This window comes from Homo sapiens, chromosome 2, assembly GCF_000001405.40.
Source record: "Homo sapiens chromosome 2, GRCh38.p14 Primary Assembly".
Lineage (NCBI taxonomy): Eukaryota > Metazoa > Chordata > Mammalia > Primates > Hominidae > Homo > Homo sapiens.
In genome coordinates, this window is record NC_000002.12 from 197,477,203 (window position 1) to 197,489,618 (window position 12,416).

Consider the following 12,416-nt stretch of genomic DNA (forward strand, 5'->3'; position numbering starts at 1 on the left):
GAGGCTGAGGCAGGAGGATAGCTTGAGCCTAGGAGGTCGAGGCTGCAGCGACCCGTGATCATGCCACTGCGTCTCAGCCTGGGCAACAGAATGAGACTTTATCTCCAAAAAGAGACAAAAATGGTTCTAGTAGTGTTCTAATAGTTAACTCCAGTGTTCCCTTTATACAACAAACACAGTGATCATTTGAGTGTTAACAAATGGATCTTGGGTCTTTGCAGGTACTTAAGGCCAAGTTTAGAGTGTCAGAGTTTATATATCTGGAGTCCATCTGATTCTGCGTAACAGCATTCTAAGCTCAGACCTTCCAAGAAGGAGATAGACCTGGTCAGGAGTTTTTCTGAGGGCAATTTTACGATACTCTCCTTTTATTTTTCCTCCCCTGTTTATAAGAGAAAGAGTTCATAAGATCGTGATATATAGACCTCTGGAATTTCATGGGACTGACCACCTCAGTTTTCAAGGCTCAAGTTTTTAGGCATTTAACAAAATTATTTTGTTTTGCACACTTACATAGCACTAGATGCCAGGCAGTTTAAAATGCCTTGTAAACATTTAATCATAACTTTTTGAGGTAGATACTATTATCCTCATTTTACATAGAAAAAGTTTTATAAAGAGAGGTTAAGTAACTTTTCTAAGGTCACAGTGACTGGTAAAGACAGGATGAAAACCCCACACATTCTGGCTCTAATATCTATGCTCTCTTGTTTGCTTTATCTAGCCCAACAGTCTTGAGGCCATGACTTCTGATTCTGTGGTGGGCAGGTCTATGCAAACCTAGCCACAAAAGCTGAGGAAACTGAGAGGCAGAAGAAAGGTGGACAAATCCAGTTTCTCAGAAAGAAACATTTAATAGGGACCTACACACAGGAGCAGAAGCCATGTTTCGGGGCGGCTGCAAGATAAGATGGTGGATCCCCTGATGGATCATCATGGTCCCAGGGCTTATATACCTTAGGCAACTAAGGGGCGGGATTTGTAGTATGTGTTACAAAGCAACATCAAGCTTGTTTTGACCTAAGGGCAAGATTTGCAGTGAACAGTAGATAAAGTAGAACTCTTAGAGGCATTGTAGACTTAAAACTTGGCATCTATGCTTTACATATAATAAGGGGGAAAACAATATCATGTCTATAAACTTTTTGAAAATGGCATCTGGCCAGTGGAATCTGAGTGGAAGACTGGTGGGATGGGGCTGTTAGATAAGATTTTTCTCTTTGTGGGAGGATCCTTCGAAGAGAAATTCTCCTTATTTTTACCTGATTTGAGAACATGAAGTTTGTAGCTACATCTGCCATCTTTTCGCTATGAGGAAGAGCCAAGGTAATTCAGAGAAGCCAACTCAGAGTTCTAACATCATTAAGGGTGAATGAACCAACCCTGTAGTTGCCAACTTTGCACTTTTGGTTATGTGAGATAACAGACATCTAGTGTTGAATTCACTTTTAGTCTGGTATCAGTGGTTACTTGCAGCCGCCCTTCTGCCCCAGTCTGAACTGGTTGCTCTCCAGGATGTTGCACAGCTATAATTGCAGGGCTTCCTTGCAATCATCCTGGGACTTCCCTTCCTCTTTCCTCTTTGGGACCTGCTATTTCCTGAATTTTTGGCTTCCTCTTATTTTGATGTGCTCTCTCAAAATGCTGGGGCAAATCCACTAGTGGCTTCCTGAGAAAGGGCTAGTGAGAGTAAATTTTTTTTTTTTTTTTGAGACAGAGTCTCACTCTGTCACCCAGGCTGGAGTGCAGTGGCGCAATCTCGGCTCACTGCAGCCTCCGCCTCGCGGGTTCAAGCGATTCTCCTGCCTCACCAGTAGCTGGGATTACAGGTGCCCACCACCATGCCCAGCTAATTTTTTTGTATTTTTAATAGAGATGGGGTTTCACCACGTTGGTCAGGCTGGTCTTGAACTCCTGACCTTGTGATCCGCCCACTCAGCCTCCCAAAGTGCTGGGATTACAGGTGTGAGCCACAGCACCCGGACTCAAGTTTTTATTTTTATACTTTCTTTTTTTGTATTAAGAAAAGCATGGGCAGACACGGTGGCTCACACCCATAATCCCAGCACTTTGGGAGGCTGCAGTAGGCGGATCACCTGAGGTCATGAGTTTGAGACCAGTCTGGCCAACATGGTGAAACCCCATCTCGACTAAAAATACAAAAATAGCCAGGCATGGTGGTGGGGGCCTGTAATCCTAGCTACTCAGGAGGCTGAGGCAGGAGAATCACTTGAACCCGGGAGGCGGAGGTTGCAGTGAGCCGAGATTGTGCCACTGCACTCCAGCCTGGGCGACAAAGAACAAGACTCCGTCTCAAAAAAAAAAAAAAAAAAAAAAAAGAAAGAAAGAAAAGCATAATTACTACAAATTACAAAGGATTAAAGCCAGACTGGAATAATGAATGAATCACATCAGCCCAGAAAGCAGATACTCTCAATAATATTAATATTATAATACAAGCTTGTTCAAGTATTTTACATTTTTTGTGTGTGGCCTTTTTAAGTGTGATATCCTGGCACATAGTAAAGATAATGTACTATGAACGTAAGCCAGATGGCCAGTTTCACTCTCCAGTGAGAAACAGGCTGTAAGTTCTTACCTTCTCTGCCATCAACATGGCTGAAGGTAGAGACGGGTGGGGGCTGGGGAAAATCCAGGGACCCTTTCACACAGGAGGAACTCTAGGGTTCCATCCAGGAGGGTGCCAGATAATCCAGATTACTCTACTTAGGCTGTTGGCAAAAAACAACCCTCATCCTCCCTAACTAGTCACTGATGATCCTTGCCCCTACTCCTCACTTCCAGGGCCTTCTGAGCTGCCTACTTTCTTTTGTAAATTCAATCATCAGGAAAGGGAAAAGAGCTATAATTGAACAAAACTTAAGACGTGTAATAACTGTGATGGGCTCAGCACCTCTATCTGAGCTGGGGCAGGGGCGGATGGCCCTTCTCTATTAGTGCATTTGCTTGTCACAAATACATTGGTCCTATATTCATGTGTCTTCAGAAAGTGAAGAGGTAAACTTTGCAACATTAACTCCTAACATGTTACGAAAAGTCATTTGCCAGGCAGAGTGGTGCATGTCTGTGGTTCCAGCTACTCAGGAGGCTGAGGTGGGAGGATTGCTTGATACCATGAGGTCAAGGTTGCAGGGAGCCAAGATCGCACCACTGCACTCCAGCCCGGGCAACAGAGTGAGACCCTGTCTCAAAAAAAAAAACAAAAACAAAAACAAAAAGTCCACGCCCCCACCATCACCAGCCTCTGTTGAAATGAAGTCCTCACTTATGTGCCCCAAAAGAAATTCCTCTTGCAGGGGTATCTGTGAAGAGAATGGCAGCCCCCGGCCTGTGGGTAAACTCTAGATAAGAGCGGCCTTTTTCCAGACCCCAAGGCTTCCTTGTGTACCCAAACCCAGCAGAGGACAAACACTTAGGTTTTTTTTTGGTGCTGGATACAGCACTGGGCTAAGTGAGCTGAAGGAAAGGGGTAACAAAGGGAAGGAGGAGGGGGTCCGGGAGTTCAGTGTCTGGTGCAGTGTAGGGCAGTCACCAGACTGGGTGAGGAAAGGCCTCAGATCCCACCGTCATGGCAGAGACTAGACCCTCATCCTTGGTTTGAGACGAATTGAGATGGGCTTCCCACATACCAACCACTGGGAGGGCAAAGGTGGAGAAAGGGCACAGGTTGAAAGCAATGAGGTGCCCAAGATAAAGGCCAAGCCCTTGTCAGCATGGGATATTGTCTCCTACTCCCAACCTTTGAGCCCAGCAGAGGAACCAGTTGAAAAGCAGAGCCCAAGACATTTCAGTAAGTCAGCAACAAGACCACAAACTTCTCTGTCTTGCCCAGTACTGAGAGTCGTGACCGTATCCGATACACATCCTACCTAGTCTGTGTAGCTCAGCCCTTCATCACTGATAGCTTCTGATGGCAGTCGACTCCAGCTATTTCATTGTCATTCACATGCAGTCAGTGGCTGAAGAAAGGTATACTCTTATGTCGACATAGACCTTGCTGCCACAGGGCTTCACCAACTGACAGGATTCCACCCAGCCCCCAAGTCCTCCTCACCCCTCATTCCCAGGTGGGCAGAGGTAGATGGCTTGCAGAGCGGGGGGATGCAAGATGGGGAGACTCCACCAGACCCTAGGAGGAGAATTAATGTTGCCTTTCTAGGGTCGTTATTATACCTTTCTGGTCATTCAGGACATTAACTAGACTCAAGAAGAGGCACCATCTTAATCCAACTACAGTTGCAGGATCTGGGTTACTGTTAATGTGTAACCTGGTTGGTTGCACAGGTCAGTGTGATGCTGAGCCTTTACCCTTAGGATGAGTCCCTTTTTTGTTTGTTTTTTATAACAAAGCTTTACTTGTTACGTTATGAGGTTCTTAGGTCCTTTGTGTTTCAGAGATGTTAATGTTTAGAGAATTGATACCTTTCCTGGAAATGAAGTACTCTTTTAATTTGTTAGGTACCTAACTCTTATTTATGGTATATTGACCTGATTTGTCTATTAACATAGATATGTTTCATAAGTAGAAACTATTTACAAGACAAAATGCTGAAAATTATATAGAAAGTTATGTCTATCTCATGAATTTATTAATATTCATGAGTTCCTCTCAAAAATTTAGTTCCCTGGAAAGTTCAGTATTTCTGGAGAATTTGGATAACCTCTGCCCCCTGGGTTCAAGCGATTCTCCTGCCTCAGCCTCCTGAGTAGCTGGGACTATAAGCACGCACCACCATGCCCCACTAATTTTTGTATTTTTAGTAGAGATGGGGTTTCACCATGTTGGCCAGGCTGGTCCTGAACTCCTGACCTCAGGTGATCTGCCCGCCTCAGCCTCCCAAAGTGCTGGGATTACAGGTGTGAGCCACTGCACCTGGCCATGACTCTTACCAGTTTTATTTCACTCCTTCCTGTTTACACATATAGAAACAAGAATATAATCTATGCTTTATCAGCAGACATATGTGTCAGCACTCCTGCTTATTTTATTTATTTATTTTTAGACAGAGTTTTGCTCTTGTTGCCCAGGCTGGAGTGCAAAGGCATGATCTCGGCTCACCGCAACGTCTGCCTCCCAGGTTCAAGTGATTCTCCTGCCTCGGCCTCCCAAGTAGCTGGGATTACAGGCATGCACCACCATTCCCTGCTAATTTTGTATTTTTAGTAGAGACGGGGGTTTCTCCATGTTGGTCAGGCTGGTCTCGACTCCCGACCTCAGGTGATCTGCCTGCCTTGGCCTCCCAAAGTGCTGGGATTACAGGTGTGAGCCACCACGCCTAGCAACACTCCTGCTTATTAGAAACATAATATTCACCAGTTTATATTAGAACTTTTTCTGTTCTTTATATTCACTTTCCTCTTTTAAGTATCATTATGAACACTTTGCTTTGTTCTAAGTAACCATAATGATTTGTTATTGATACTCAAAACGTACTAACTTTGCCCAGTAAACCCCTTGGGCAGGCTCTTCTTTTTTGGGGGTGAGGGGGCCAGAATCTCATTCTGTCGCCCAGGCTGGAGTGCAGTGGTGCTATCTCGGCTCACTGCAACCTCCACCCCCACAGGTTCAAGCAATTCTCCTGCCTCAGCCTCCTGAGTAGCTGGGACTACAGGCGCGAGCCACCATGCCCTGCTAATTTTTGTATTTTTAGTAGAGACGGGGTTTCACCATATTGGTCAGACTGGTCTCGAACTCTTGACCTCAGGTAATTGCAAAAAGCTGGGCGTAGTGGCTCACATCTGTAATCCCAGCACTTTGGGAGGCCCAGGTGGGTGGATCACTTGAGGTCAGGAGTTCAAGACCAGCCTGGCCAACATGGTGAAACCTCGTCTCTACTAAAAATACAAAAATTAGCTGGGCATGGTGGCGGGCGCCTGTAGTCCCAGCTATTCTGGAGGCTGAGGCAGGAGAATCGCTTGAACTGGGGAGGCAGAGGTTGCAGTGAGCCGAGATCAAGCCACTGCACTCCAGCCTGGGCAACAGAGACTCCGTCTCGAAACAAAACAAAACCAAAAGTGAAGTAGAGGTTCCTCTTCAAAGAGACTTTCCTCCCTGTCTAATTAAGAAGAAATACCAACTTCTCCTAGGAGCAAAATTTATTCAAAGACCTGTGCTAACATTCTTAAATATCTGCTAGCCATAATAAAGAAATCAATATACTTTGTGTTCTTAGCTCCCACAATTTAGCCTAAATATTTGCCCTGGCATGCTTATACTGGTCCAAGCAAACATTAGGTCATAGCCTGTTCCTCTTCCTTATTTGGAGGTGTTTTTTTTTTTACCTTTCTCAGCATCCCGCAAGTTACTTCCTCCTGCCTGTATTCTCCTTGCCTTTGCCTCTTTTGAAAAGTTCTAAGTTGCTAGCCAATGGGGACAAATAGAGAATGTGAGGTCCCATTCCAGTGAATGGAAACCAGGCACAGCAGTAGGGTGGATGCACCAGGTTATAAATGACCCTGTCTCTTTTGTTCGGTGTACTCTCGTGGCAAAACTGCTGGTGAGTGTACCCTTTCTGCAGAAAGTAAAAATGGCCTTGCTGAGAAAATTAAATATATGTTCAAGTGCTATTTCTTTATAGCACCGGGGAACAAGCATTTCTAACATCCACCCACCTCAGCCTCCCAAAGTGCTGGGATTACAGGTGTGAGCCACGGCACCCAGCCATGCTGGCTCTTGTCTTTAAAACTTCTCTGTGGCTGGGCAAGGTGGTTCACGCCTGTAATCCCAGCACTTTGGGAGGCCAAGGCCAGCAGATCACTTGAGGTCAGGAATTTGAAACGAGCCTGACCAGTATGGCAAAACCATCTCTACTAAAAATACAAAAATTAGCCAGGCATGGTGGTGTGCACCGGTAGTCCTAGCTACTTAGGAGCCTAAGGCAGGAGAATCACTTGAACCCAGGAGGTGGAGATTGCAATGAGCCGAGATCGCCCCACTGTCTGCACTCCAGCCTGGATGACAGAGTAAGACTCTGTCTCAAAAAAAAAAAAAAAAAAAAAAAAAAAGCTCTGGGTGTTTTTGAAAGTATTCTCATTGCCAGGCAGGAACAGGGTGTTGCAGATCCATCCTGACATTTTTCCTGCCTCAAGACATGGATTCAACTGCTACTCAAGGAATCCTGTTTCCTTTTAGTGGAGTATTAAATATCTAGGTGCTGGAGATGTACGTAAGAATTGTTGATGGGCAGCTGGTGGCGGTGGTTCACACCTGTAATTCCAGCACTTTCAGAAGCCGAGGTGGGTGGATCATGAGGTCAGGAGTTTGAGACCAGCCTGACCAACATGGTAAAACCCCATCTCTACTAAAAATATGAAAATTAGCCAGGCATGGTGGTGCACACCTGTAATCCCAGCTACTTAGGAGGGTGAGGCAGAAGAATTGCTTGAACCCAGGTGGAGGTTACAGTGAGCTGAGATTGCACCACTGCACTCCAGCCTGGCAATAGGGTGAAACTCCATCTCCAAAAAAAAAAAAAAAAAAAAAAAAAAGAATTATTGATGGGCACAAGTGCTACTGTTGCTGCTACTACTATTAGACCTTTTTTTTAGTGACAAAGTCAAAGATTTCATTTAAGGTTACTAAATTCAAACTATTCAGACTGAGTATTTTCAGTATGACAAACTACACTGTACTTTTCTTACTCCAACATTGATGGTCCACATTTAACTGTTTGAAAATCAGACTGGGCCAGGGGTGGTGGCTCACGCCTGTAATCCCAGCACTTTGGGTGGCTGAGGATCACGAGATTGCGCCACTGTGCTCCAGCGGGTGATGGTGAGACTCCATCTCAAAAAGTCTTAAGTAACTTCCACAGTCTCAGAGCTGTTAAGTGGTAGACCCAAATTTGAACCAGTGTTTCATTTAAACACTTAAGATCTCAACCTAAGAACAAGCTAAGCAGGGTCTAGGCAATTGTTGCAAGAAACCTGAAAGCTGCAGCCAGAGGAATTGGGAAATTCCGTTTTCCTTTCTTAGCTTGAGAAGGAAAGCACCCAAGGTTACACTTATTGGTGAAACCAGAACTAGACCACAAACCTGAATTCCTAAGTCCTATCACCGTTTTTTTCTTTTCTCACTGCAACCTCTGCCTCCCGGGTTCAAGCGATTCTCCTGCCTCAGCCTCCCAAGTAGCTGGGATTACAGGTGCCTGCCACCATGCCCAGCTAATTTTTTGTATTTTTAGTAGAGTCGGGGTTTCACCATGTTGGTCAGGCTGGTCTTGAACTTCTGACCTCAGGTGATCTGCCCGCCTCAGCTTCCCAAAGTGCTGGGATTACAAGCATGAGCCACTGGGCCCGGCTGGCAGTTAGACCTTCAGAGTCTCAGTTTATATAAATGTAGCATAGGCTTAATAGTCCCAAACCTAACATTGAGGGTTAAAATTACCTATCCTGATGTCTAATGCATAGCAAACACTTGGTTAGTTTTTCCTCTCCTATTAATCTCTAGTCTTCTGTCACTCTCCCTGCTCTAATACGAACTAAGTCCAGGTGTTTCTTATTCCTTGTTCTTCTAATAAACTAGTTGGCCTCTTAAGATGTAAATTATCTCCCTAGATTTCTTTTACTTGAGTTTGCTTGCTTGCCACTTTTACAGCCCAAACTACATTCTAGACAAGATTTCTTCAGTTAACATGCCTTTTATTCAATCCCCTCTCATTTGCTGACCAATCCTCCTTTTTTAAATTTCTTTGGGTACCTAGCAGGTGTATTTATTTCTGGGGTACAAGAGATGTTTTGATGTAGGCATGCAGTGTGAAATAATTATATCATGGAGAATCATATCATGGAGAATCATATCATGGAAATGGAGGGGTGATCATCATCACCCCTCAACCATTTATCCTTTGTTACAATCCAATTACATTCTTTTATTTTTAAATGTACAATTATTATTGACTATAGTCACCCCGTTGTGCTATCAAATAGATCCTTTTTTTTGTACCCCAAACACAACGAAATTACCAAAGCCAAAGGTATTCTAGGTACAGGATTTCAAGTGACTGACTTTTCATGTGATGATGGACTTTATTTCTCCCCTCTACTTCTGTCCAAGGTAAGGACAGCAAAAATATTTGCCTCAATGCCTTGCTTGCAGCAGCAGCCCAAAGGCCATGCTGAGGAGCTGGAGTTCCCTCCAACCTCCCAGATTTTACAGCTCCAAGAGAGATTACATCCTTGCACCGGGGAAAATAGAAACTGTCTTTCCCCATTATCAATGGAATAATGTAGTTCAGTCTGCAACAAAGAGAAACATGAAAATATCATAGATAGGATAATGTTTTACACACATGCCAGCCTGCCCTTCAACTGGCTTTCAATTTTCAGTATCTTCTAATCATGGAAATGCTAACACAATTATTAACTTTAAACAAATTTTTATTACACAAAGGTTGTCACATAATTGGATACTTCTCTACTTTGTACACAATTATTCTCACTCTCCACAGAAAGGCTGCTTAACTTCTCATCTGGTGGTGGCAAGCACTAAAATCCTGATTTTAACAGAATAGTAGTAAAAATGCCTCAGTGATTTAAGTTGAAAGCAGTACACTGGTACATGGCTCTTGTACCCAGTATCAGGAATGTACAAATGTTTTTTATTCAAAAATACAAAATAAATTATCTGTAGGCATGGACAATGACAGCAGTAAACCATTATATATTTTGTCAACTGAAACCAGTAACTGATGGTTATAGTGATTTTCAGCCAGCCTTTTTCTTCATTTTCTCCAACTGACTTCTCTGAAGTTATTGGTGAGGAACACTGCCTTGGGCTTCCTGTCACAGTTCATTAATAAAGGTAAAGCACTAGTCTAGGAGTTAGAACATGCCACCTCCCATACCACCTCCCATTCCACCCATTGCACCCATTCCAGGGTCCTTCTCTTCTTTAGGAATTTCTGTGACTACAACTTCTGCTGTAGTTAACAGAGAGGCCACACCAGCAGCATCCAATAAAGCAGTTCTCACAACCTAGAAAAAAATTTAATTAATTAGTTTTCCCTTAGTAAAATATGAGCAAGACTTATTGAAAATTTCTGTCTGGGCATGGTGGCTCACACCTGTAATCCAGCACTTTGGGAGGCTGAGGCAGGTAGATGACTTGAGGTTAGGAGTTCAAGACCAGCCTGGCCAACATGATGAGACCCCGTCTCTACTAAAAATACAAAAATTAGCCAGGCATGGTGGTGCATGCCTGTAATCCCAGCTACTCAGGAGCCTGAGGCAGGAGAATCGCTTGAACCCAGGAGGTGGAGGTTGTCACTGCCTGCACTCCAGCCTGGGCGACACAGCGACTCTGTCTTCAAAACAAAACAAAACCCTGTTCTGCGTATCTTGGAAAGTATTCTTACTGCCAGGCAGGAACAGGGTGTTCCAGATCCATCCTGATTTTTTCCTGCCTCCAGGCATGGACTCAACTGCTACTCAAGGGATCCTGCTTCCTTTTAGTGGAGTATTAAATATCTAGGTGCTGGAAATGTACATGAGAATTGTTGATGGGCACAAGAGCTATTGCTGTTGCTACTGCTATTAGACTATTTTTCTGGTGACAAAATCAAAGATTTGGGATGTGAGGATACATTAACAAAATGAACAACAAAAGAATTTTTAGAAAGTGTTCAACCATTTACCTTTGTTGGGTCAATGATTCCTTTTTCCACCATATTCACAAAATCTCCAGCCATAGCATCATAACCAACTTCTGAGGAACTTTGCATAATTTTCTCAACTATCAAAGATCCTTCAACACCTGCATTCTTAGCAATGGTCATTGCTGGAATTTTGAGTGTTCTTTTAATAATTTCTATACCTACAGAGAAATTTCAGCAAAATTTTAATACTTTCATTTGTAAATATTGTAACACATTTATAAGTTGTGAGGATATTGATGTAGGGAAATCCCAATCCTACTACAGATCAAATCATTTCCTCTGAAAAAGATGTGATGCATGTTTAGCTCTGACATTAGCACTATTCTACTTCTGTTATTCAGGAAATGAATGTGCTATTCCATTTAGGGGACTGCAACATTATTATTCTAAGAAAAACTAAAATCAGGCCACAAACTCATTTAAAAGGTAACTTTTTACCAATTTTTTGATCTTCATTAGCTGGAGTCAATGAGTCCAAGGCTGGAATGCATCGAAGGAGGGCACAACCCCCTCCCAAAACAATGCCTTCTTCAACAGCAGCTCTTGTAGCATTAAGGGCATCTGTAACTCTGTCTTTCTTTTCATTCACTTCAACATCACTTGTCCCACCAACCTAAAGACGAAAAGAATTCCAGTTAGTATGGCCTCTTCATTCAAGATGCTAATTGCCAAGTCATTTAAAAGCAGTTTACTTAAAAAGCAATCCTGAGGTGGGCGTGGTGGCTCACACCTGTAATCCTAGCACTTTGGGAGGCTGAGGTGAGTGGATCACTTGAGGTCAGGAGTTTGAGACCAGCCTGACCAACATGGTGAAGCCCTGTCTCCACTAAAAATACAAAATTAGCCAGGCATGGTGGCAAGTGCCTGTAATCCCAGCTACTCGGGAGGCCAAGGCAGGAGATTCGCTTGAACCCAAGAGGCGGAGGTTGCAGTGCGCCGAGATCGCACCACTGCATCCCAGCCTGGGTGACGAAGAGCTCAAAACAAAACAAACAAAATTCCACTATGAAGTTAATTCCTCAAGTATTCGTTTAGTTCTATGGTACTACTGGGGAATACTACAGAAGCAAAATCATTCTTGGACTCAGAACCCAAGAAACTTATTCATAATAATGAATGTTACCTTCAGCACAGCCACTCCATCTGAAAGTTTTGCAAGCCGTTCATTCAGTTTTTCCTTTTCATATTCACTAGTTGTGACATCTAACTGCTCAATGATTTCTTGAATACGTTTTTCAATTTGAGCCTTGTCACCTTTTCCTTTTAAGAGCATGGCATCGTCTTTGGTCACAATGACCTCTCCAACTTTTCCTAAGTCATGAGGCTGAACGTCTTCAAGATTCAGGGTCAATCCCTCTTCTCCAAACACCTACAAAAAGAGTTAAACGTAAACCTGTTGTAGGTTACAGTTTCTGCCATTATACCAAGTTTATTAATACACCATGCAAGAGAATCATCAAAATACTTTATTTCTTTGAAATGAGAGATTTTAAGATCACTGTTAGTCCAGAACAAGACTTGAGTATAGTCTCTTTCACTGCATTTCCAAATTCTCAATTCTCACAACTGTGGTAATTATTACCAGCCTTACTTGAGAAAAAAACATCGAAGGTCACACTTACTGGTAGAGCCAGGACAAGACCATAGGCCTTGACTCTCAAGTCCTACATCCCTTGTAGCATACACTTCTACCTTTCAAAACTGAGCTCGGTAGCTCATGCCTGTAATCCCAGGACTTTG

The 12,416-nt window shown here is 43.4% G+C and overlaps 1 protein-coding gene and 1 non-coding gene across 3 annotated transcripts in view; both read right to left on the reverse strand.

The window, feature by feature from the left end:
• The window catches only part of HSPD1 (heat shock protein family D (Hsp60) member 1), a 13,691-nt gene continuing 10,656 nt past the window's right edge, over positions 9,382 to 12,416 (reverse strand). For both annotated transcript variants that reach the window (NM_199440.2, NM_002156.5), the window contains exons 9-12: positions 11,800 to 12,045; positions 11,115 to 11,289; positions 10,656 to 10,834; positions 9,382 to 9,996 (exon numbers count right to left, since the gene is read on the reverse strand). In NM_199440.2, coding sequence (NP_955472.1) covers positions 9,844 to 9,996; positions 10,656 to 10,834; positions 11,115 to 11,289; positions 11,800 to 12,045 — 753 coding nt within the window. In that variant the 3' untranslated portion in view covers positions 9,382 to 9,843. The remainder of the gene's footprint in view (positions 9,997 to 10,655; positions 10,835 to 11,114; positions 11,290 to 11,799; positions 12,046 to 12,416) is intronic.
• Positions 9,586 to 9,701, reverse strand: SNORA105B (small nucleolar RNA, H/ACA box 105B). Its single transcript, NR_132788.1, has one exon. It is a non-coding gene; the product is annotated as a small nucleolar RNA, H/ACA box 105B (small nucleolar RNA).